This window comes from Homo sapiens, chromosome 6, assembly GCF_000001405.40.
Source record: "Homo sapiens chromosome 6, GRCh38.p14 Primary Assembly".
NCBI lineage: Eukaryota > Metazoa > Chordata > Mammalia > Primates > Hominidae > Homo > Homo sapiens.
The window spans coordinates 160,926,211-160,952,901 of NC_000006.12; the positions used below are offsets into that span (position 1 = coordinate 160,926,211).

Genomic DNA, 26,691 nt, shown 5'->3' on the forward strand with positions numbered 1-26,691 from the left:
CAGGGAGTCCGCTGTCCTCACAGCAAGAAACGGAAGGAGGTTCCCTCAGGGCTCTTTTGCCTCCCGGAAGTACAAGGCGCCTCCATCTTCACAGCATGAAGGGTGCGGGATGGGGCAGGAGACCGGAGGGAGTTGAGGTTTTGCACCCGATAAGGAGACGCATAAAGGGAACGGGTGGGGACACAGGGCCCCTGCAGCCTCAGGAGGATCAGCAGTGGCCTGGTTTACTCGTGTCGTCATTCGTCGTGGGCACCTTGTCCCCGGGGCCGGCCAGTTACTTGGCCTCCTGGCTCATCATCCTGCCGGAAGCATCTCCAGCTTGGGGATGTTGGAGGGTCCCTGGCCCCACCTGGCTGGGGATGGAGTGTGTGAGCTGCCCTGGGCTGAATCTGGGTGCGGGAGGAGAGGGGACTTAGAGGAGAGAGGGACAGTGAACTTGGTTTTGTGTGACTGGCTGGAGTGACAATGACAAACGACTGTGTTTGAAATATTAACTTTCCTTCTCTCATCAAGAATTCATTGTACCTGCCTGGCCCCTGAAGGTGACTGAGTTTGCAGTCCCTGATGTTATGGGCTGAACGTTTTTGTCCCCCCAAAATTCATACGCTGAAGCCCTGACTCACGATGTGCTAGTATTTGGAGGCAGGGCCTTTGGAGGTGATGAGGGTTAGATCAGCTCATGAGGGTGTGGTTCCTATGATGGGATTAGTGCCCGTAACGGAAGAGGAAGACAGCAATCTACACACATACACTCACACACCCCGTCCCTTTCCCTCCTCGCAGAAGCCGAGGAGATGCCATGTGAGGGTGCAGCGAGGAGTTGGGCTGTCTAAAAGCAAAGAAAGAGATTGCATCAGACACCGCATCTGCTGACACCTTGTTCTTGGACTTCCAGCTTCCAAAACCGCGAGAAATAAATGTCTGTGTCTAAACCCCAACCCTACCACCTCAACTGCCGTGTGTGGTGTTTTGTGATGGCAGCCCCAGCTGACTGAGACACCTGGTTAGACCGGAATAAGCAGGTGAGGAGTACTGGGGGAGGGGTGAGAGAAGAAACTAGACTGGGCCAGATGACTGGGGGAGGGGAGACTGCCTTGCTAAATATTGTGCATTTTAACCCAAAGGCCATGACAAGCCACCAAGGCAGGGTATGCCACAAACTTGGGGAGCCCCAGACACCTTGGAAAAGACAATGTCATTTGTGGAGAAAATGCCCCCCCCCCCACACACACACACTTTTCAAAGATCATCTGACCTTTATGAAAGAATAGGTCCTCTGGTTCTTAGTGTTAGAGCTCAGTAAGCAAAGGTGGTTGCTTGAATTTGTAAAAGCCCTTTTTTGAATCCAACAGTACCTGAGTCCCTTAAGAGTGGCCAAAGAAGAAAGAATCCACTGAGTTGACATTCCAGTTCAGTAAGTTGTAGGGACATTGTTTCGAAAGAATCTGCAGGCAAGGGAACACCAACCCGTAACTCACCTCAAGCCCAGTCCTTTCCAGAACCTTTGCCTGTCTGTGAGCAGTGATGGATTATTGCAAATGTTGTTTAGTTTCATTTGACCTACTTTGCAAAACCAAGTTTCAATATATGAGTAACTGTGGGAGCTAAGGCCACTGCATTTGATCTCTCTGAATATCCTTTCTACCCACCAGGCTGCAATCGGTAGCAGTCACCATTGAACATCCTTGAAGCAATTCTTCCAAAATTACCTTGCATCAAAGACTGCACAAGAACTGCTCTAAGCGGAAGGACTGATGTCGGCAACCAGGGTTCCACCAGGGGCTGCAGACAGCCCTTGACCTTCAGGTGGGAAGGTGTCACTGAGTTCAGACCCTCTGGCAATCCCTAGCTATCAACATTTTGATAAGAAAATAAGTGGAAAGGTAAAATTAGACAAAGACATTATTACCTTAGAGGACAATTAAGCATTGGTGGCTAATCTAAACATATCCTTACAATTTTTATTTTAGTACTAGCTATGATTTATTGTAGGTTTTCCATCTGTGCCAGGCACTAACAGCACTATGAATTGCCTATACCACGCTACAATCACCAGATTTTTCTCTTTTATTATTACCACTTATAGATCAGGACATTGAAACTCATTTGCCCAAAGTATGCCAATGGAAATTGGTGGAGCCAGGTTCTAACCCAAATATCTAGGTCTTAAGTGATTACTTTTAACCACTGTACTGCAATTTACTACTGGGAGGAGGAATAATAATATCTATACTTGATTGATTAATGCCTACATACTAATCACTTTACTAAGCTCTTTTTTAAATGTTTCATTTCATTTGTAATTGACACATAGCAATTGTACATATTTATGGGGTTCAGTGTGATGTTTCAGTGCATGGATATATTGTATAATGATCAATTAGGGTAATCAGCATATCTATCACTTTAAACATTTATCCTTTCTTTGTGGTGAGAAAATTCAAAATCTTCTCTTCTAGTTATTTTGAAATATACAATATATTATTATTAGCTATAGTCACCCTAGTGTGTAATAGAACACCAGAATTTATTATTTCTGTCTAACTGGAATTTTGAAACCATGGACCAACTTCTCTTCTCTCCCCAACTACCTTCCTCGTCCTCTGGTACCACTATTCTACTCTAATTATATGAGATCAAGCTTTCAAAAAAAAATGCTTGTCAACAAATAATAATTGTACATATTCATAAGGTACATAAGATGTTTCAATACATATAATGTATAGTGATCAAATCAGGGTAATTAGCATATATGTCATCTCAAATGTTTATCATTTATTATATATTTGTGTTGGAAACATTCAACATCCTCCTTTTAGCTATTTGACACTATTCACTATACTACTGTTGACATTCTACAGTGGTGTAGAACACTAGAACTATTCCTCTTTTCAAGCTGTAATTTGTAGCCTTTAACAACTCTCTCCCTATCCCTCCCTTCCTGGGACCCTTCTCAGCCTCTAGTATCTTCTGTTTACTTTTTACTTCTTGAGATCAACTTCTTTTAGCTGCCACCTATGAGTGAGAACATACAGTGTTAATCTTTCTGCTCCTGGCTTGTTTAACATAATGTACTCTAGCTTCATCCATGTTGCTGCAAATAATAGGATTTCATTATTTTTTATAGCTGAATAGTATTCCATGGTATGTATATGCCACATTTTCTTTATCCATTCATGTGTGGTCAGACAACTAGGTTGATTCCATGTCTTGGTTATTGTGAACAGAGCTGCAATAAACCCGGGGCTGCAGATGACTCTGTGATATAATGATTTCCATTCTGTTGGATAAATGCCCCGTAGTGAGATTGCTGGATCATATGGTACTTCTATTTGTAGTTTTTTGAGGAACCTCCATACTGTTCTCCAGAGAGATTGTACTAGTTTAAATTCCCACCAACTGTGTAGAAAAGTTCCCTTTTTTTCTGCATCCTCACCAGCATGTGTTATTTTTTGTCTTTCTGATAATAGCCATCCTAACTGGGGTGAGCTAATACCTCATAGTGGTTTTGATTTCCATTTCGCTGATGATTAGTGATATTGAGCACATTTTCATATATTTGTTGGACATTTGTATGACTTCTTTTGAGAAATGTCTGCTCAGATCATTTGCCCGTATTTTAACTGCATTGGTTTTTTGCTGTTGAGATGTTTGAGTTCCTTGTATATTCTGGATACTACTCCCCTGTCCAATTAGTAGTTTACACAACACTAGGCACCATACCAGGTTCTTTACACAGGTTATTTCATTTACTCCTCACTCCAACCCTATGAGGGAGGTGCTATTGCTACTACTCTCATTTTACCCACAGAGAGTTCAGCAGAGGTTCATAACTTCCCCAAAGTCACACAGCTTTTGTGGCAGATGGAGCAGGGTTGGATGCCAGAGCCAGGCCCTCTAGCCCCACGCCTCGCTGCTGCAGGAGCCCGCCCATCTGCAGTCACTGCCACAGGCATCAATGGTAGTACCCAGATTAAGGATTTATTGAGCACCTACTGTATTCACAGAACTCTGATCAGTCTGAAAGCCCAAGCAATGAAGCAAACAAAGCCAAGGAATGATAGAAATCACAGAGTTCAAACCAGAGTCTAGGGCCTGAAGTGCACAGCATGGGCCAGGTTAAAGTGAATGAAACATTCCTATTTTGATCCTTTTCATTATTTATCATTCATACCCATAAATACCTTTAAGGGGATTAGTTTTAGTTGCAAAGTGAACAACAAGTAGGCAACAAATTAGCTCTTCCAACATTTTCTTCTCCTGAAAAGGCTCTTTGAAAGCCCTGTTTTGCAGAAACTTGCTCCTTTTGCATGACGGGTAAATCGTAGGAGACCTGGTAGATTATGCTACAAACTTAATGTGGAAAGGTTGCTTCATCCAAGATCCTGGAGTTTTCGTAGACATTGTCCTGATACTTCCCCTTGGGCAATACCAGCGCCTGCAGGCAACAGCTCTGACGCACTTAAGACTTAAATACTACCCACAGAAGTGCTGGCTTGGCTGGGAAAACCTTTTGCTAAATAGAAGAACAACATTTTTTTTTCTTTTCTGGAATTTGCAAACAGCATTTATTCTCAGCCTTGCCTTCCAAACGTTCCAATTGGACATTGCTGGGCAGCGTGGAAGCAGAAGCGAACGTCACCCAGGCCGGCAGGGGGCGGCACACCCCACACTTCGCTGCGCGCCCTCGCCTCCTTGGGAGGGAGTGTCCAGCTCCCAAAACCTGTCGTGGGTTTTGTCCCAAGTGACTTCAGCCAGCAGATGGTTCAAGTCCTGAGGCTGCAAAATTCGGGGTGGAAGGAGTGGGGCGTAAGGCTGAGAGTGGGGAGAGCAATCCAGGGGCGCCAGGGTGGGAGCCGCAGCGGGCCCGCGGCCGCCCGGAGGACACTGATGCTTCTGGAGCTCGCGAAGGGTCCCCCGCGGGAGAGGAACAAGGCCGCTTGCGCTCCGCAGAGGCGCAGGCACGGGGCTGGGGCCCGGGGCGGGGGCGCGGGTGGGCGGACCCCTCCCGCAAGCCCATGATGGCCAGGCCAAGGCCGCTGGGAAAGGCAGGACGCTCGCCCATGCGCTGCCAGCTGGGCTTTTCTCCTTCGCCCGCCCTGTGTTCCAGGGCGCGACCCCGTTCGGTCCAGCCGCTGGCTCCGGGGCTGAACCCCAGGTAGGTGGGTCGGAGCCCCTGAGAGAACTGGGGCTTGAGGGCGTTTCTGCTTCCAAGCGCAAGCACGGGGAGCCCTGATGCTCCAGCCCCTGGACACTGGATTGGAAACTGGCAAGGGTAGGAGATGTTTTGCAGGAGGCCGCCCTCTGTCTTCCTCTGTTCTAACACCTGCTGGACACAGGGAATCCTGATACCTGTATTTTTTACCAGAAAAAAATTCTAACAGCAGAAAAGTCAATGTGATGGGTTACGCCTCCTTAACGTGCCCCATTTGACCTTGTAAGCTTCCTTCCACAGGCTGACCTTGTTTTGTGCAATCAGTGTGATCTTTTGTCAGCTATGCAAAACAGTTTTTGTTTACTGAATCTGGTTTAAAAGGCAAGAAGTTGCTTCCCATAGGGCACTTTGATCCTTGGTGTAGGGCACTTTGATCCTCGGTGGAAAGGGATGTGTATGCCTTGAAACATGGAGAGTCACATGCGATGCTTGGTTTTGTGTAGAACTAACATGAGATAATCTTTTCACTGGTTTTCAGAATTGTGGAGAATTCACTTAGGAAAATAAGCATGTGTATCAATGGATGACTAATATGGACATGTACTTTAACTGATTTCACAGAAGCAGTGCTCCTGATATTTTGAGACACTAATTTTATTTGGTTCTTCTTTACCATATGATCAATTAGCTGCTTACCTCATAAGTTACAGAGGGAGAAGGTACTTCCTGTTTTCTCTTTATATCTCTTGTCCCTTATTTAAAGAAGCAATAGGGCACGTGCAGTGCCTCACTCCTGTAATCCCAGCACTTTGGGAGGCCAAGACAGGAGAACTGCTTGAGCACAGGAGTTCAAGACCAGTCTGGGCAACATGGCAAGACCTCATCTCTACAAAAAATACCAAAAAAATTATCCGGGTGTGGTGGCCGCACGCCTGTAGCCCCAGCTACTCGGGAGCTGAGGTAGGAGGATGATTGAGCCCAGGAGGACAAGGCTGCAGTGAGCCAAGATTGCACCACTGCACTACAGCCTGGGCAGCAGAGCGAGAGCTTGTGCCAAAAAAAAAAATATTTTTTAAAAAAAGAAGTAATAAAGGAGAAATCTTTTTGCTACGTTTAACTTATCCTCCACTATTCTAAAGTTTAAGCTTCAATAATTTATAAGTACAGTGACATTAACACTTTAAAGTTAGCTGATATGCTGATATGCTTAAAAACTGGAAAATATTTCAATTTTAAAAAATTCTAGGTGGGGTATGGTGGCTCATGCCTGTAATCCCAGCACTTTGGGAGGCTGAGGTGGGTAGATCACTAGGTCAGGAGTTCGAGACCAGCCTAACTAACATGGTGAAACCCCATCTCTACTAAAAATACAAAAATTAGCTGGGCATGGTGGCACGCACCTGTAATCCCAGCTACTCAGCAGGTTGAGGCAGAGGAATCGCTCGAACCTGGGAGGCGGAGGTTGTAGTGAGCTGAGATCATGCCGCTGCACTCCAGCCTGGGTGACAGAGACTCGGTCTCAAAAAAAAAAAATTCTATTCCATCTAGTAATTGACGCATATGATACATATGCATACATGTGTAAAAGTGTATATCTATTCATATGTATATGAAATAGGTATATTATACATTGTACTGAGTTTATACTTTTATTGGCCTTTTTGACTTTAAAAGTGGGTTATACAGACCTGTGAAACAAGCAGCAAAAATGAAAACACTGCACTTTTGTGTGATTCCGTAAACACACAAGAATAGTGGAGGTCAGGATCCATGCTGCTGGCCAGGCGTTAAGTTGGCGTTATCAATAATCACTGTAGTCTCTGTGGGTGCTGATGAATCTGAATTCCCCACATGTCGTGCCTTGGGAATTGCTCCTTTGACTAGATTACTGTTTTGAGGTTGACGCTGTTGTGTTTCTTACAAGAGTAGAAAACAAGTGCACAAAAATGGATTTAGGTAAGTGGAAATTTAATGCAGTCACAGCAGTGCCCCACACAAACAAAGTGATCTACAAATGTAGCCTTGATAAGGGTCCCTCGCTAGGCCAGTCGTCACCTACTCCCTCTGCTGGATGACAGCCCTCCGGTATCTGCACTCAGCTCCCACGTTCCTGGAGCTTCTCTTCTCAGACTGCGCAGCGCCCAGAGCTTCAGGTCTCTCCATATCCTTCATCAACACCTCCTGAAAGCGTGAGACCTTGGAGAGGCCCATGTCCTCCAGGTGTGGCCAGGAGAGCTGAGACAGAGCCCTGGGGTCCTTTCTTATCAACCCTTGTTTGGGTGTTCTATTTCTGTTAATCCTCCAAATAGTCATTTTAAAAAATACCATTCATTTTAAACCGGTAGCTCAGCTGTCCTGTGTAAGCTCCACACCCTCAACTCTATAGCTGATTACGTAGTTCATTATTAAGCTAATTTAAGAAATGTTAAATATATGAAAAAGTACAGAGGGAGCAAACATTGAAGCAACTTACCAACTTTCCCACAACCTGCAGTTAACAATTGTGAACATTTTCTCCTTTTAACTTTTCCCCAGTCCCTGGAACTTTCTGGCTCATCCTCTCTTCTCTAACCCAGTCTCCCTCAGCCACAATCATGATGAAGTGTGTACTCATCCAACCTGTTTTGGAACATTTAAAAATTCTTTTAATTAGTTTTTAAAAGTCAACTTTATATATGCTCATAGTTTAAAGAGTCAAAAAGTTCTATAAAAAAGCTTGAATTTCCTTCTCCCCAGAGGCAAACACTTCGACTCTTTAAACTGATCCTGTTGGCATTTACCTTCAAATCTCTAAATAACCTTCTGACCCTGGTACTTCTTTTTTCTCTTTTAATCATTACCTATGGACTTCCCACCCTGCAATATTAGGATTTAATTCTCTTTAATGTACCATCAACAATATACCACACACACACACACACACACACCATACATACACTGTGTGCACACATACCGCACACACCACACACCTCACACAACACACCACACACCCACAACACACCATACACCATGTACACACACAGACCACACACAGATCACCCACCACACGCTGCACACACACACCGTACATACACTATGCACATACACCATGCTTACACCATGCACACACATCATATACACACCTCACACATACCACAAATCCATAACACATATACAGTCACACCATGCACACCACACAGCATGCACACACACACCACACCCACACAGTATGCACACCCTACTTTTCATTGTTTGAGGAACCTCCATTCTGTTTTCCATAATGGCCACAATTTACATTTCCCCCAACAGTGTGCCAAGCTTCCCTTTTCTCCGTATCCTCACCAACACGAGTCATCTTTTGCCTTTTTGATAATAGTCATTCTAGTAGGTTTAAGGTGATATTAGAGTGTAGGTTTTTCTTTTGTTTTGTTTTTTATTTTTAGAGATAGGTCTTACTCTGTCACCCAGGCTGGAGTGCAGAGGTGCGATCATAGCTCACTGTAACTTCAAACTCCTGGGTTTAAGCAATCTTCCTGCCTCAGCCTCCCAAGTAGCTAGAACTACAGGTACACAATACCATGCCCAGCTAATTCTTTATTTCTTTATAGGGACAGGGTCTCACTATGTTGCTCAGGCTGGTCTCAAAACTCCTGGCCTCAAGCAATTCTCTCTCCTTAGCCTCCCAAAGTGCTGGGATTATAGGCGTGAGCCACCATGCCCAGCCCATATATTTCTTTGATTTGCATTTTTCTGATGAGTAGTGAATTTGAGCACCTTTTTATATACCTGTTCTCCACTTGTCTGTCTTTTGTTGATAAATGTCTATTCAGGTCCTTTGCCCATTTAAAAAATTGGGTTATTTGGGTTTTCTTTTTGCCACTGAGTTGTTTGAGCTTCTTACATATTTTTGAAGTTAACCCCAATCAGATGTATGGTTTGCAAATATTTTCTCCCATTCCTAATGTTACTTTTTCGTTCTGTTGATTGTTTCCTTTGCTGTGCAGAAATGTCATGCAATCCCATTTGTCTATTTTGTTTTTGTTACCTTTCCTTTGGGGTCATATCCAACAAATCAATGCCCAAACCAATGTCAAGAAGCTTTTCTTCTGTGTTTTCTTCCAGTAATTTCACAGTTTTAGATCTTATGTTTATGTTTTTAATCTACTTTGAGTTATTTTTTGTATGTGGTGTGAGATAAAGGTCCAATTTCATTCTTCTCTATGTGAATATTCAGTTTTCCCAGTACCATTTATGGAGGAGACAATCTATTTCCCATTTTGTGTTCTTGTCACCCTTGTCAAAGATCAGCTGAATGTAGATGCATGGATTTATTTCTGGATTCTCTATTTGGTTTCATTGATCTTTGTGTTTGTTTTCATGCCAGTACCATACTGTTTTGATTACTGTTGCTTTGTAATATATATCAGAAAATATAATGCTTCCAGCTGTGTTCTCTGCTCAAGATTGTTTTGGCTATTCAGGTTCTTTTGTGGTTCCATATGAATTTTAGGATTGTTTTTCTTTTTTTGTAAATAATTATATTGGAATTTTCATAGGAATTGCATTCAATCTGTAGATCACTTCAGATGGTATAGACATTTTAATGATATTAATTCTTTCAATCCATGAACATGGGCTGTCATATGGTGTGTGTGTGTGTGTGTCTTCTTTAATTTCCTTCATCAATGTTTTATAATTTTCAATGTACAAGTCTTTCACTTCTTTGGTTAAGTTTATTCCTAAGTATTTTATTCTTTTTGGTTCTATTTTAAATGACATTGTTTTCTTGATTTTCTTTTAAAAATAGTTGTGTATAGAAATGATACTGACTTTTATATGTTGATTTTGTATCGTGCAACATTACTGAATTCATTTTATTAATTCCAACAGTTATTTTGTTGAGGCCCTAGAGTTTTCTACATATATGATCATGTCATCTGCAAACAGAGATAATTTTACTTCTCCCTTTCTGATTTTCATGCCTTTGCTTCTTTTTCTTCTTTAATTATTTCAGCTTGGTTTTAGAGTACTATGTTGAATAGAAGTGGTGAGAGTGAACATCCTTGCCGTGTACCAGGAAATCTTTCCATTTTCCACTCTTTGATTATGATGTTAACTGTGGGCTTTTCATATATTACCTTTGTTGTGTTGAGATAAGTTATTTCTATGCCTATTTTATTGAGTGTTTTAATCATGAGTGAATGTTGAACTTGTCAAATGTTTTTTCTCTATTGAGATGATCATGTTGTTGTTTTCTTTTATTTTGTTAATGTGGTGTATCACATTGACTGATTTGTGTATGTTGAACCATTCTTTTAATGTGCTGTGGAATTGGGTTTTCTAGCATTTTATTGGGGAATTTCACATCTGTGTTCATCAAGGATATTGGCCTGTAGTTTTCCTTTCTTGTGGTATCTTTATCTGGCTTTGGTATTAAGGTGATGCTAGACTCATAAAATGAGTTTGGAAGTTTTCCTTCTTCTGTTTTTTGGAAGAATTCAAGAAAAGTTGCAATTAATTTTTCTTTACACGTTTGATAAAATTTACCCATGAAGTCATCTGGACCTGGGCTTTCCTTTTTAGGAATGGGAGTGGGGTTGATGACTGATTCAACTTCCTTTTGTTATTGGTCTATTCAGCCTTTCTATTTCTTCTTGATTCAGTTTTGGTAGGTTGTATGTTTTTAGGAATTGATCCATTCCTTCTAGATTCTCCAATTTGTTGGTGTATAATCGTTCATAATAGCTCCTTATAATACTTTTATTTCTGAGATATCCATTGTAATACTTTTTTTCATTTCTAGTTTTATTTATTTACATTTCTCTCTTCTTTTCTTAGTCTAGCTAAGAGTTCATTGATATTATTTTCTTTTTCAAAAAGCCAAGTCTTAGTTTTGTTGTTTTTTCTGAGGGGAAGGGGGTTCTCTTATCTATTTGATTTACTTTTGCTCTGATCTTTATTATTTCCTTTCTTCTGTTAACTTTGCTTGGTTTGTTCTTCTTTTTCTACTTCTTTGAGATGTAAAGTTAGGTTGTTTATCTGATATCTATTTTTTTTGATGAAGGCATTTTTTGTTATAAACTTCCCTGTTAATACTTCTTTTGCTGCATCCCATGAGTTTTGAGATATTTTGTTTTCATTTTCATATTTTTAAAACATTCTTTGATTTCCTCTTTGACCTAATGGTTGTTCAGGAGCATGTTGATTGGTTTTCATGTATTTGTGATTTTTTTTTTACTGTTATTGATTACTAGTTTCATTCCTTTGCGATTAGGAAAGATATTTGAAATGAATTTGCTCTTCTTGAATATTTTAAGATTTGTTTTGTGACCTAGCATGTGATATATCTGATCCTGTGTGCACTTGAGAAAATGTGTATTCATTTGCTGTTGGTTGGAGCAGTCTGTGTATGTCTGTTAGGTCCGTTTTGTCTTTAGTGTTGTTAGTTCTGCTGTTACTGCTTTTCTGTCTGCATGATCTATCCATTATAAAGAGTACAGTATTGAAGTCACCTACTGTTATTGTATTGCTGTCTGTTTCTCCCTTCAGGTCTGTCAGTGTTTGCTTTATATATTTAGATGCACTTGGATGTTGGGTGAATATATACTTATAATTGGTATATCTTCCTGATGAATTGACCCTTTTATCATTATATAATGACCATCTTTGTCTCTTGTAACAGTTTTTAAAAGTCTATTTTGTCCGATGTAATTATAGCCACTCCTGTTTTCTTTTCGTTATCATTTTCATAGAATATTTTTTTCCATCTTTTCATTTTCAGCCAAGGTGTGTCCTTAAAGTTGAAGTGAGTCTCTTGTAGGCAGCATGTGTTGGATCCTAGTTTTTATCCTGTTCAACTACTGTATGTCTTTTGATTGGAGAATTTAATCCATTTACATTAAAGTAATTATTGATAGGAAAGAATTTGCTTTTGTTATTTTGTTAATTGTTTTTCTGACTTATGCCTAATTCCTTTGTTCCTTTCGTCCTGTCTTTCTGTTGTCTTTTGTTTAAAAAAAATTGGATAATTTTTGGAGTGGTATTCTTTGGTTCCTTTCTTTTTATCTTTTGTGTATCAACTAGACATTTTTTTGTTTTGGTTATCAGGAGGCTTACAATAAACATTTTATAGTTGTAACAATCTATTTTAAGTTGATAACAATTTAAGTTAGAGTGCATACGAAAACTACACTTTTACTTCTCCTTCATCCCATTTTGTTATTGATGTCACAATTTACATCTCTTTATACTGTGTATCCATTAATACGTTATTATACCTATATTTATTTTCAATACTTTTGTCTTTTATACTAAATTTAAAAGTGAAATATATACCATCATTACACTATTAGACTATTTTGAATTTGACTATATACTTACATTTGCCAGTGAGCTTTATATTTTCATATACTTACATGTTACTAGTTAGCACCCTTTTGTTTCAACTTGAAGAATTCCTTTATCATTTCTTTTAAGGGGGTAATTCTAGCAGTGATGAACACCCCCAGCTCTTGTTTGTCTGAGAAAATCTTTATCTCTCCATTTCTAAAGGACAGACTTTTTGTGTGTAGAATTCTTGGCTAACAATTTTATTCTTTCAGCACTTTGAATGTAACACCCCATTCTCTCCTGTTCTGCAAGGTTAATGCAGAAAAATTTGCTGATAGCTTATGAGGAGGGGAGCAGCTGTATGTGATGGTCACTTTTCTTTTGCTGCTTTCTAAATTTACTCTTTGTCTTTGACTTTTGCCAATTTACTTATAATGTGTTTTGGTATAATTTTATTTGGGTTGATCCTCTTTGGGGATTTTTGAGTTTGATATACCTGATGTCCATATTCCTTGCAAGGTTTTGGAAGTTTTCAGGCATTATTTATTTAAATAAGGTTTCTGTTTTTCTCTCTCATTCCTTCTAGGACATCCATAATATATATATAGTTTCCCTTTATAATGTCACGTAAATCCTGTTGACTTTCTTACTTTTTTTCATTTTTTTTCTTTTCATCATCTAACTGGATAATTTCATTGACCTGTCTTCAAGTTCACAAATTCTTCTCATTTTTATAGAGCCTGCTGCAGAAGCTCTTTGTTGCATTTTTTCCCATTTCATTCACTGCATCCTGCAGCTCTAGAATTTCTGTTTAGTTCTTTTTTTATGATTTCTAGCCTTTCGTTGAAATTCTTATTTTGTTTATGAATTGGTTTTCTGATTTTTGTAGATTTATGTATTCTTGTTGTCTTGTAGCTCACTGAATTTCCTTAAAAATGGTTATTCTCAATTATTTGTCATACAGTTCATGTATCTCCATTTCTTTAGGGTCGGTTACTGGAACTTTATTAGTTTCTTTTGATGGTGCCATGTTTGCCTGCTTCTTCATGATCCATACAGCCTTGTGTTGATGTCTGTTTATTTGAAGGAACAAACACTTCTTCCTGTCTTTACATACTGATTTCTGCAGGTAAAGACCCCCTGCCATGTCCTCAGACTGATGAGACTGCTTCCTGGATTGTAATTGAGTGAGATTGGAGTCGGGTCACATGGATGCTGCAAGGTCTTCAGTTGGATCCACCTGTTACTGGAGGGTGCAGGCAGGCAGGCAGGGTTACTGCTGGATCCCCAGGTGCATGGGACTGACTCTGGGACCATGATCAAGTAAGGCTGGAGCCAAGCTACAGAGACACTTCTTGGTCTGCACTTGAGTCCACAGATGGTAGGCCTGTTATCAGGGTAGACAGCTGTGGCTACTGCTGGGTCCCTGAGTGGGCTTCCACCTGGATGGGTGCCTCTGGGACTGTGGGAGAGCAGAGATGGAGCTGAGTCACAGAGCTGCTTCATGGTCTGCAGTCAGGACCAAGGTCGGCAGTCTTGTTACCAGAAGTGCTGATGGGTATAGGGTGCTCTCATGGTCCCTGGGCAGGCAGGCCTGCCTCCAGACCACCATTGAATGGATCTGGAGCTGGACCACAGGGCTGCATCAGGATCCAGTCAGGACTGAAGTCAGCAGGCCTACTACCAGGGGCACAGATAGGTGTCACTGCATTCCTGAGCAGGCAGGACTGACTCAGGACGATGGTAGAGTGGGGCTGGGGCTGGGCCACAGGCCTGCTTCAGGATCCACATTCAGGACAGGGGCAGCAGGTCTGTTACTGGGGGCACAGACAGGCATGGGTTATTCTGGTTTCCTTACCAGATGGAGCTGGTTGCAGGCTGCAACCAAACGGGGCTGGAGCCAACTCCGTAGGAGGATGGGGCTGCTTTGGTGTACAGCTAGGACCACATTCAGCAAGCCTACTACGGGGGTTCAGGTCTGCTTTCTTAAAGTACCTCTCCTCCGTCTTGGGCTTTACCAGGGTTTCATAACCTTCTACCTGGATCCTAGAGCTCCCACAGAGGCACTTTTGTCCATGGATGGCTGCCAGATTGTTGTTTGTGTCAAGGAGACGGAGGATGCAAGCTGGAGACCTCCTGTTCCACCATATTAATCATATCACTCCAATTTTTCTTTTGTTGCATGTGCTTTTGGTGTCATGTCCAAGAATCCTTTGTCAAATTCAAGGTCATGAAGATAAACCCTATATTTTCTTCTAAAAGCATTATGGTTTTAGCTCTTATATATATGTTCTTTTGCATGTGGCTATCCATTTGTCCCACCACTATTTGTTGAAAAGACTTTTTCTCCATTTGCACCCCTGTTGAATATCAATTGACTCAGTAATCTTAATATCTTGTATGTCTATAAATGTCTTAACTCTACCTTTATACCTAATTAACGGTTTGGCTGGGTAAATAGTTCATTTTTACTCAGAACTACTTTTTAGTTTCTGTGGCACTGTTAAGATGTCTTATGCCATTCTCATTCTTTATGCTTTGCGTGCAACCTGTATTTTCTCTCTAATAATTTGTAGGACTTTTTTAATGCTAGTACTCTAATACTTCATTATGACATACACTCATGTGGGTTTGCTTTTTGGGAGGGCCATTTAATTACACAAATTCACGTCCTTTAGTTCTAGAGATTTTTCTTCATCTTCATTATAAACACACATATACACACATACATATGCATACATGTGTTTCACTTTTACGTTGTTCATATATATAAATACACAGACATTATGACATCTCAGTGATATATACACACACATTTTGACATTTTACCCAAGAAAATATGGATATTCTTATACATAACCATGATACTCTTTCAACATACTTTTAAACATTAAAAATAATTCCGTAACATTATTTAATACCCTGTTTATATTCTAGTATCTCTAATTGTCCTCAAAATGCCTGTTATAGTCGTCATTGTTCTTTGAGTCAGGATCCAGTCAATATCACGTATTACATCAGGTTGTTGTGTCTCAATTCTTTCTTAATCTAGACTAGCCCTACACACACACAGGCACACACACACATGCACACATACACACATGAATACATACACACACTTTTTCTCATTGTTCATTAAATTTGATTTTCCTGATTAGCAGGGATTTTATGTTTTTTCTGTAGATTTCTTCCTACTAGCCTGTTGCAAATTTTTATATTGTGACTTGTTTTTGTTTCGTTTTGGTTTTGTTGAGACGGAGTCTCTCTCTGTCGCCAGGCTGGAGCATAGTGGTGCAATCTCGGCTCACTGCAACCTCCACCTCCCAGGTTCAAGCAACATTCCTGCCTCAGCCTCCCAAGTAGCTGGGATTACAGGCGCCCACCACCACGCCCGGCTAATTTTTTGTATTTTTAGTAGAGAGGGATTTCACCATATTGGCCAGGATGGTCTCAACTCTTGACCTCGTGATCCGCCCGCCTTGGCATCCCAAAGTGCTGGGATTACAGGCGTGAGCCACCACGACTTGCTGTTTTGTTTTGTTTTTAGACACACACAGGGTCTCTCTATGTTGCTCAGGCTGGTCTCAAACTCCTGGCTTCAGGTGATCCTCCTGCCTCAGTTTCCCATATAGCTGGGATTATGAGCACAAGTCACCACATCCAGCCATTTTTCAAAAAATGTTACCTATCCCTCCCAGTGTTCCTTTTCCAGGTCATGATAAAAGCACCGAATAGAACTGGACCGATGACATGGCCCTCTGACATGGCACTAGAAACTGCCCTTCAAGTGGATGGTGATCTATCCAGCAAGAATTTTTGGATACAGTAATGTCACCTGCTATAATTTCACTTCATGCTTCTGCTTTTTGCACAGGGCTAGTGTGAGCATCCCTGTGCAATGGCTTATTGGGAAATTGATGTGCATTGCACCGGAAGCAATCTCCTCATCTTCCTGCTTACTCATCAGACTGAAAAAGGCAACACAGACTACCATTCATTGTGTGGCTACAAGGCACTATGCATTTTCATACAATATATCTAAAGCCCATAATACTCACCAAAATAAACCATTGCTGCCACAATTTAAGAGATGAGTGGAATGAAGCTCAGGGGTAAAGTAATGGGTTTAAATTATAGTCTTATCTGACTCCAAAAACCATTCTCTTGCTATTTCTTCATACAGCTTATCAGGATCACCATGTCCTGATCTTTTTCTGAGCATTCAGTCTCCTATTTCCTAAGTGCTCAGCAAAACATTTGCCAGCCCAATTCTTAATTTCATTATCATCAGCAAAATGAATAATCAGAATTAATTGGTGAATGGTTTCTTCCTAGCACCCCTTTAAGAAACTTTCCCCTGCAATCTCCATGGGCACTAGCTTCAGCCCTTGAGTATAAATAAGTCAGTAATAAAGAATGTAGGAGCCTAATAATAAAGAGTGGGTTTTTAATTATTAAAAAAAAGTTTTAAATTAAATCTCCTCCAAACATAGACACACACACACACGTACACACACACACACACGATGTGAAAATCTCAAAGACAACTGATGATTACTTTTATGCAAATTTATGTGATAGTAAAGAAATGCACAGTAGGTATGAATCTCTACATTTTCCTTACCTTTCAAGAAATAACTTTAAAGAAAATAGGAATATTGTTTAGTATAGGAAACTCTGGCCAATAAGCTGAAATCTATACCTGCATCTAGAAGCCTCACCTGAGAGATGGCTAAGCCTATTTCCTAGCCCCCAAATCACCTTGATACCTATGCCATCTCCTCACGGGTGGTAATCAGAGAAAGCTGTAAAATCCCTTCTTTGATCCCTTCTGGGACTTCACCGATTGGAGTGGCTCTTTTCTTTGGTTCAATTATATCAGAAAATAATTAAACATGTTGGAATGAATAAATAAGTTAACTTCCAACATTTTCTTTATTTTATTTATGTTTTGAGACAGAGTCTCACTCTATCACCCAGGCTGGAGTGCAGTGGCACCATCTTGCCTCACTGCAGCCTCAACTCCCCCATGCACGGGTGATCCTCCCACCTCAGCCTCCCAAGTAGCTGGGACTATACGCTCATAACAACACACTCAGCTACTTTTTATATATTTTGCAGAGACCAAGTTTTGCCATGTTGCTCAGTTTAGTTTTGAACACCTGGGCTTAAGTGATCTGCCCACCTCAGCCTACCAAAGTGCTAGAGTTATAGGCAAGAGCCACTACACCCGGCCCAACATTTTCACATACATAATTGCAAAATATTTGTCTTTTGAAAACTTTACATTATAAATTCTTTAGATAGAAACAAAAAGTTATTAGGAAACCAAAATTAAAATGAAAGGCAATAAAATATTGGTTATTCTTCCATGTATTCATGTAACAAATGTGTGTGGATTGTGCACCATATCATAGACCCTGGGACAAAGCTGAAATGAAGAACAGGCAGGCATGGCCATAGCCCACACTGAGCTCACAGGTGAGTGGGGTGACAGACAAGGACACAGGCAATTACACTCAGTATGGGAAACCCACAGTGGGGAAGCAAGGGGTGGTGGGTGTCCGTTGGAGGCCTAACCCAGCATTGGTGGAGAGGGTCAGGAGAGACTTCTGAGGTCATTTCTGTGCTGATATCTGAAGGAAGAATGAGTGAGAAAAGTTGGCTGAGGGCGTGGGGATGGAATAATCTTTCAGGCAGAGGGAAGAATATTTGTAAGATCTAGAGCTAATTGAAAGGCACCCATATTGGAGGATATAAGCATAACTGATAGTGCCTGTGAGATGGGTATTGCCAAAATGTGAAGCTGGAGAAGTAAACCAAGATCAGACCATGAAAGTCTTTACAACATACCAGAGAGTGACATATTGGGTTGACATATCAGTAGGGTAATGCTGTGGGTAGGAGTTCAGTTAGGAGAATGTTGAAATAATGCAGGTGCAAGGTGACAGTGGCCTGAACCAGGATAATGGTGATGAGTGTCTAGGGAAGCAGGTGGCCAAGGATGGACTTGGATGGATTGGATTGGGAAGTGGGGATGGAGTGGTAGGCAAGGAATAGGGAGAGGTGGAGTACAGAACCCAGGTTTCTGATTTGTGTAAAAGGTGATGATGTTCACTGATGAAGGAGAACACAGGAATAAAAACGGATGGCAGGGAATGTGGGAACTTGACGGGTGGGTTGAATGTTCAAATAGAAGCATACAGACAGGTATCAGACATACATGTAGTCTAAGGGATATAAGCATGGAATTCTCAGCACAGAGAGGCTTCTTGAAGCCACAGGAGTCCACATGCAGGGTGAGAAGGGAAGAGAGATCAAGGCACAATCCCTGAGGAACTCCAGCATCAAAGGAGGAGAGCTTCAGGAGACGAGGAAACATGGAGGAAGACATAGGCTTTTAGGGAGACAGTGGAGTATGATGTCACAGGCTCGACAATGAACAAAGGTATAGTTGCACATACATTGGGGCACAGAAAACATTCTTTCTGAGACTCAAACATGAGCCCACTCATTTCTTGTTCAGCTACTCTATTCCTGGCATATAGATATGAAGGCTTATAAACAATCCTGGCCTGGGAACTTAAAATCTGTGTGATGAAGCCAAACACAGTAATAATAGCATCAGTGACCAAAACAGTGTATTCATTACAGAACCTGAAAGTGCTCATCACTTTGTGGAATTTTGGTTAAAATGTCTTACTACCCATTCACAGGTAGCTGCCTCCTGAGAGAGGCCCACAACACGGGTAGTGGAGGCATAAAAAGTCCTTCATTTCTCAACAATGAGAATGAGAGGGTAGCCATTGGTGGAAAAGACAGTGGGCTTCCAGTGGGCCGAAAGGAGAAAGAAGTGGTCACTGATGTTCCAGGCTGGAGTGAGCCCATATAGACACCCATGATATGGGGATGCAGAAGAGAGGGCAGCCCAGGAATTCTGGAGAGGCACCGCACTCAGATACAGCCCAGCGTGACCCAGGGACAAGAAGGGAGTGATTGAAAGTCGTTAGAGACAGCATTGACCCTTACTTCACTCACTGCTTCCCACAGAATTCCTAGCAATCAAGACACTCCTCCCACTGCCCAGGCAGGGGGGCAGAAATTTTATCTCTGCAGAAAGGGAAGCGCCAGAGACAGGCCTCTGGACACTGACATCTGGGGCTACCCGCAGAAGAATGAGAATACCCTTCCTGAGCACCTTAGGGACACATTTCGTTAGGGTTGTTTTTTTTTTGTGGGTGGGAGGCAGGCTTGGGAGCCGTGTTCTGTGTGAGGGTCGTGATTGGATGGTGTGGCCCAGCAACAAGTCGCATCACCCAAAGGAATTGGGTGCATTGGATTGATTGTCTGAAGCCTGCCAACAATGATTTTGGGTAGCAGTTCTGTTAGAAAAGCCATGAAATTATATTATGGAAATTGGACCAAGCCCATCGCCATTTAGTTCATTGCTTTATAACCAGCTCATGAGGTTAAAAAAAAAGGAAGTCGACGTTAAAAAGTTCCATTCATTGGGGTGGTGTAGACTCTAACTTTTGTCTACCTTTGTTTGCTTGCCTGCTTGCTTTTTGTTTTGGGATCTAATTTATTTGTAATTATTTGTCTTGTATGTAGTAACCATCACTTGCCCCCTAACCATTGAAAAGAGAATTTCTTGACGAGTTAAATCAGAAGCCGTCTCTTACTCAACCTTACCAAATTCTTTCTCTCCCGGTTGTAATTTATTGCACCAGCTGCCTCCCCACCTGCCAATTCTCCTTCAGATATGCCTCCTCTGCAGCAACACTTAAGATATTTTTATTAGAATTAGAAAGTGTAGCAAATTATGTTTATTTTTCCTTTCCCTATTGCTTCTATACAAAATCTCCCCATTTATTTTCTTTGAAACTATTTACAAGCGATTGCTTTAACCCTGCTCCCCCAGCATACCTGTGTTTATGTTATCTTTCTTTTATTACAATACATTGAGCTGGCCCTCAGGTGGATTCCTCATTTTGATATTATTGACACTTCTTTTATCTTTACTGGACTGCTTCTCTGTGTGCTTTTTTGACAGTCATCCTGTCGAGGTTTTCTTTCAATCTGTTTGACACATTTTTTCCTTTTTTGTTGTTGTTGTTCTTTGTTTTTCAAGATGGGTCTCGCTGTGTTGCCCAGGCTGGAGTGCAGTAGGACCATCATGGCTCACTGCAGCCTTAAACTCCTGGGCTCAAGGAATCCTCACCCTGCAGCACTCTGAGTAGCTGGGACTACAGGCACGTGCCACCATGCCCAGCTAAGTTGTTGTTTTTTTTTTTTTTTTTTTTTTGGTAGAGATGGGGTCTCACTTATGTTGCCCAGGCTGGTCTTGAACTCACAGCCTCAAGTTATCCTCCTGCCTTGGTCTCCCAAAGTATTGGGATTACAGGCGTGAGCCACCGCACCCAACCTTCCTGTGTTATTAAAGGAGAAATCCTAGTAATGAATAAAAAAAGACTTTAAGGTATAATTGACAATAAGTTGGCCTTTGCCATTTAAATAAGGAAATTGAGGGCAAAAAAAATCCTCTGAATGTGTATAGAAAATGCTGCTGGGGAGTGGTTTATGAATATTTAATTAAAGAGATGAGAGCCAGGCAAGGTGACTCACACCTGTAATCCTGGCACTTTGGGAAGCCCAGGCGGGAGAATTGCTTGAGTCCAGGAGACCAGCCTGGGCAATATAGTGAAACCTCTTCTCTGCAAAATAATTTTTTTAATTAGCTGAGTGTGGTGGCACATGCCTGTAGTCCCAGCTACTTGGGAGGCTGAGGTGGGAAGATCCCTTGAACCTAGGAGTTCAAGGCTGCAGTGAGCTATGATCGCACCACTGCACTCCAGCCTGGGTGACACAGCAAGACCTTGTCTCAAAATTAAATAAATAAATAAAGAGATCGGAGGCATTACTACCATAAAGTATTTGCTATTGCTTTCTGGTGTCATTATAACAACCAGCATGTTCTGAATATCAGAATTATCTGTGACATTAAGTATGTATTTGAGCAACTATTAAAACTATATGTAATGGTGGCTCACATCTGTAATCCCAGCACTTTGGGAGGCCGAGGTGGGTGGATCATTTGAGGTCAGCAGTTCGAGACCACCCTGGTCAACTTGAGGAAACCTGGTCTCTACTAAAAATACAAAAATTAGCCAGACATGGTGGTACACACCTGTAATGCCAGCTACTTGGGAGGCTGAGGCAGGAGAATCGCTTGAACCTGGGAGGCGGAGGTTGCAGTGAGCCGAGATCATGCCACTGCACTCCAGCCTGGGTGATGGAGTAAGACTGCACCTCAAAAAAAAAAAAAAAAAAAAAGAAAGAAAAAAAACTATATGTAATCTATTGGATTTCTCAGAAATGGATTTTCCAAAGCAAAAGAATTTTATTTGACTAGTGTATGTTCAAACTATGTTATCTTTTATGCATCTGCAGATCAAAGATTACTTATAACTGTGTCAATGTGCCAATGCCCAGAAGAAAGATAAAAATATTTACCAGCATTTCTAGGAAATGAATGATATAGATCAAGCAACAGGATATTTTTATTTTTCATTCACATTTTTAATGAAACCCTTTCCCCTTGCATCACCAAAACTTTTTTCTAGCCAAAAAGAGAGAGAACTCAGTATCACATGTGGAAACTACCTCAGAGTTTCCTATGCCTTATTTGTTGTTAGGAATCTAGACATCATAAAAACTCAGAATATCCTCAGGTTTTGTTTTGTTTTGGTTTTGGTTTGGGGTTTTTTTGAGACAGGGTCTTGTGCTGTCACCCTGGCTGGAGTGCTATGGTGCTATCATGGCTCACTGCAGCCTCCACCTCTTAGGCTCGAGCAATCCTCCTACCTCAGCCTCCCGAGTAGCTGGGACCACAGGTGCACACCTCCATGCCCAGCTAATTTTTTGTATTTTTTGTAAAGATGGGGTTTCGCCATGTTGCCCAGGCTGGTCTCGAACTCCTGAGCTCAAGCAATCTGCCAGCCTGGGCCTCTCAAAGTGCTGGGTTTACAGGCAGGAGCCACTGTGTGCCACCTGTCCTCAATTTGTACCTTAATGATTTCAACAGCTATTGCTTAGTAGCTGTGGAGCAAAGAAGTACAAATTTGTATGTTTGCTAGATTGGGAATATAATTAGTGAAATCTAGAAGATACTTTTACAGTTGCTTTTGATGAGGTCTTATGGCCAGTTACATTATTATTCAATGGTATCTTAATTTCAAGAAGAATGTAGACTCACAGATACGGGACTAATTAAAGTGGAAAGGCACATTTACAGATAATCACAGTCTGCTTTTTTTGTGAGGCACATGAGTAGAGTTTCAACTTACACTATTGTTAAACCTATAATGGCATATCCATAGCCCTCTGTTAATCATTTTTTTGCCTCTTAGTTTATTTTCATATTTCCTTTGAAAGAAAAATACTAATAAAATTACATAAAGGATTTCTTTTCATAATTTTATGATCTAGAAAAGTAATTAACATATAAGTCCATTATAGCTAAAATTATACTGAAAATATATCTTCACACACCTCATACCACTACTACAACATATATTTGCCTGAGTTCCTTTCCTCTCCGCCCCGCAATTTCGTCAAAGCAAAAGGACCATCCCACTACAGAGTAAAACCCTAGGTAGATAGAAACAAAACAGCCAGGGAAGATCTAGAAATCCAGTTAGAGCCAGCATAGCACAAGATAATCAGTCTTTAAAAGAAGTCACATATTTAGGTTTTGCAAAACGTTTTTAAATTTTTTTACTTTAGATATAAAAGGCCAGACTCATTTTTCTAGATTATATCTCATATATTTTGAGGTTTCACATTTATGAAACAAAACCATAATTTCCTAAGTGTACAATTTCTTGAAAGCATTTCAACAAACATTTAAGTTTTAGTTTTTGTTAAGGAATTTCACCAAAGGCCTCTTTCTAAATCTTTTTTTTTTTTTTTTTTTTTTTTAGCTGAAGTTACTATTTTCCAACTACATGGTACAACACGCAGGCAACTCTGGGCATGTGCACACAAGTGCAACACACAGCCTCAGTGTTATGGGCAGAAAGCTTATTCACCAAAGACCTATTTTTAGATGAGTGCTGTGCCAAACTATACTGTTTCATTTTTTTAGGTTAAGAGCAATATTTCATGTAAAAAATGTTTTTAAAAATGCATTCAAGCTTTCTTGGGAATAATCCAACTGTTTTGCTAAACCTTCCCCTTTCTTCGAGGGTACAGAAGTACAAAGAGTATATTCAATTTGTTACATAAAAGAATACTCAAAGAAGACTGAAGCCACCTCCAGTTAGCAAGTTCTTTGCCATTCAGGTAACAATTCATCACAGTTTGACAAGATCACTTTTTAAATTTAGGCTTAAGAAGGACGGCAGAAATAGCTCTGGGCAGAGAGGAAAGGTTCACATGGATGTATATAATGCATTGTGGTTTGATATTTTACCCCACACCCATATTATAAATAAACACGACTGAAGTACAGTGTAAAAATCCTCCAAATAGTCACTGTGCTAAAACTAAGCATGTGTGCTATATTAAGAGAAGTGGTATCTACGGTACTTTTCATGATAAAATGCTTCTTTTCCTTTCCCCTCTCAAAAAAAAAAAAAGACTTTACGAACTTCTTCATAGTGATTGTATAGTTTGTAATTTGAAGTTCAAATTTGTAAAGTGAAGTTCAAGGTTAGAGGAGTGCAGTCAATTTTCATTTACAAACTTTGTAGATTTTGTGTAGGTAGTTTGCTTTCTTTGGCAATCATTTAAAATCTGGCTGGCCTCTGCTTGCTGGCCAAACACTTCCTGGGATTTCTCTCCTTCCAGAGACCTCTTTAAATTTCCCTAGAGTGTTTGCAAAAAGAACTGCTTTTAAAGATAGGCAAACCTACTTACGAGAAAGGAGCAAATGCCTGGGATATCTGAAGTTAATGCGTGTTGTTTTGGTAATCTGCTATTTTGAATGATGACATGAGCAGGCAGTGTGTCATTCACGGAACCAGCCCTGGTGCCAGTCTCCTACCAGTTTGTTTACCTCCAGCTCCTCTAGAAACAAGTTAAATGATGACTCGGGCCTGGTGTTGTGCTATATTTTAGCACTTAAAATGATTCAACAGAGTATATATTGATTTTATAGTTCCTTTGTAATGAAACCTTGGGAACCATTGTGTTTTTTAAATATAAACAAATGTATGTATTATTACCTACCTCGTTGAAATCAGCAACTGTCAGGAAGCTTAAAACAATGATTCCTTTTTGGGAGTCCCCTTTTGGGAAACCAAAGCCCCATTATTTTACTTGCTCGTATACTAATATCACACTGATTTGGGATGAGAATTAACCACATGTAATATCTGCAACAGCCATTCTTTCATTAAACAAATGTGTCCTGACCTCCTATTCTGTATCAGGACCATGTCAGGGGTGAGGCATGCAAAGGTGAAGGAGGTAATCCCTGTCCTCCAGTAGGTCACAAACTAAGAAGGAAAAAAAAAAAAAAAGCTAAGGAGGGAAACTGAGCCATAGAGAAATGATTAAAATAGGGTTTAGAATATGCAAATGTTAGTGTGTGCACAGGGTTTTCTGAGAACACAGAGAAGATTGGTCTGGGTGGGGCAGGCAAGGAAGGTTTCCTAAGCAAAGACGCCTGAATTGAGTCAAAGGGGATGAGCACCAGCACGTGGCCAACCAAGCAGGGGGAAGACACGTGTGGGAAGCGGGTGGTACTGGCAGTGGGGACAGGCCCATGGGACACAACAGCAAATGCACTAAAGAGCGTGATGCGCCTGAGGACCTATCAGTAGTTTGGCCCTGTTGGCACACGGAGTGAGAGATAAGGAGGAGCAAGCGGGGGAGTTGGAAAGGTCGGCGGGGCTGGTGCATGGAGGCTTTGGGACTTTAATCAACTTGGACTTCATCTTTAGCCCATAGGAAGCCCATCAAAAGTTTTAAAGCAGGGGAGTCATGTGGTCAGAGGTGCATTTTAGGTAGATCAATGTGTAGAGGACAGAACTGAAGAGAGCAGGACTGGACCCTGGAGAAGAGCTGGGAGACTCTTCTAGTAGTCAAGGTGAATGATGAACTAGATGGTGTTAGGAGTGGAAGGGGAGATGGCCTCCAGAAGTGACAACCTTCAGATCAGCAGAACTTGTTGAGTGATGAGATATGAAGGGTGAAGGAGCAAGAGCAGCCAAGAGTGACTCGAACCACTCGAGCTCAGAAGAACTGACGGCTGGAGAGACAGGAGCAGGGAACAGGGTCCATTTTGAGGGCAGATGATGGGAGAGGCTTCCCCTCCACCTCCCAGCACACACACACACACACACACACACACACACACACAATTTACATCTTTGTCTTGCTCCCATAATGCGCCATACCGTCCCCACAAGAACATTGTAGCACTTCATTTTAATTACTTCATTGTCTGTCTTCCTCACTAGACTATAAGCTAACTGACAACATGAATTGTGTTTGCTTTCTTCATTGTTCATTCCCAGAGTCAGCAGACTGCCTGGCACACGGTAGACATTAATAAATATGTATTAAAGGACTGTGTTCCATTTCAGATCATAATTAAGAATCAGCCATATATTTTCAGTTAGTTTTTTGCAATATTTTTATGACAGCCTTGTTGGAGTTGTTTAATAAAGAGACTCCATCTCAAAAAACAAAAAGAAAGAAATTTCTGCTCTTTATAAATTACCCAGTCTTGGGTATTCTGTTATAGCAGCACAGAGGAGACTAAGAAAACATTAGGCACTTTATGGAGTCAAAAAAAACCCAGAAAACCAAAAACTTAGAAAAACAGAAAGCCCAGACTCTGAGTATCATTGCCATTAAACTGTTTCCCAATGTTTTGGATGTATACAGGCTCACTAAATAAAAAATAAATCTATTCAAGGTCGGGCACGGTGGCTCACGCCTGTAATCCCAGCACTTTGGGAGGCTGAGGCGGGTGGATCACCTGAGGTCAGGAGTTCCAGACCAGCCTGGCCAACGTGGTGAAACCCCATCTCTGCTAAAATTACAAAAAATTAGCCGGGCATAATGGCGGGCACCTGTAATCCCAGCTATTCAAGAGGCTGAAGCAGGAGAATGCTTGATTCTGGATGTTGCAGTGTGAGCCAAGATTGCGCCATTGCACTCCAGCAACAAGAGTGAAACTCCAGCACGGGAAATGAGCAAGAAGGTCAAAAAAAAAT

The 26,691-nt window shown here is 41.1% G+C and overlaps 1 long non-coding RNA gene across 17 annotated transcripts in view, besides 1 other annotated feature; it reads left to right on the plus strand.

The window, feature by feature from the left end:
• Positions 1-26,691, plus strand: part of LOC102724087 (uncharacterized) — a 55,176-nt gene that overhangs the window by 173 nt on the left and 28,312 nt on the right. For 3 of the 17 annotated variants that reach the window (NR_187764.1, NR_187760.1, NR_187763.1), the window contains exons 1-3: positions 3-102; positions 784-1,022; positions 1,653-1,883. This is a non-coding gene — a long non-coding RNA (uncharacterized LOC102724087). Of the gene's footprint in view, positions 1-2; positions 103-220; positions 369-732; positions 1,023-1,352; positions 1,415-1,652; positions 1,884-16,337; positions 16,551-26,691 lie in introns of those variants that run through there. The other 14 variants (NR_187761.1, NR_187758.1, NR_187770.1 and 11 more) reach the window with 13 other exon arrangements.
• Positions 4,507-4,801: an enhancer, noted in NCBI's record as "tiled region #6130; K562 Activating non-DNase unmatched - State 13:Ctcf, and HepG2 Activating DNase unmatched - State 4:PromP". NCBI's record gives its function as "activates a minimal TATA promoter and a strong SV40 promoter by Sharpr-MPRA in K562 cells, with weaker activation in HepG2 cells {active_cell/tissue: HepG2 | K562}" and the evidence as "EXISTENCE:reporter gene assay evidence [ECO:0000049][PMID:27701403]".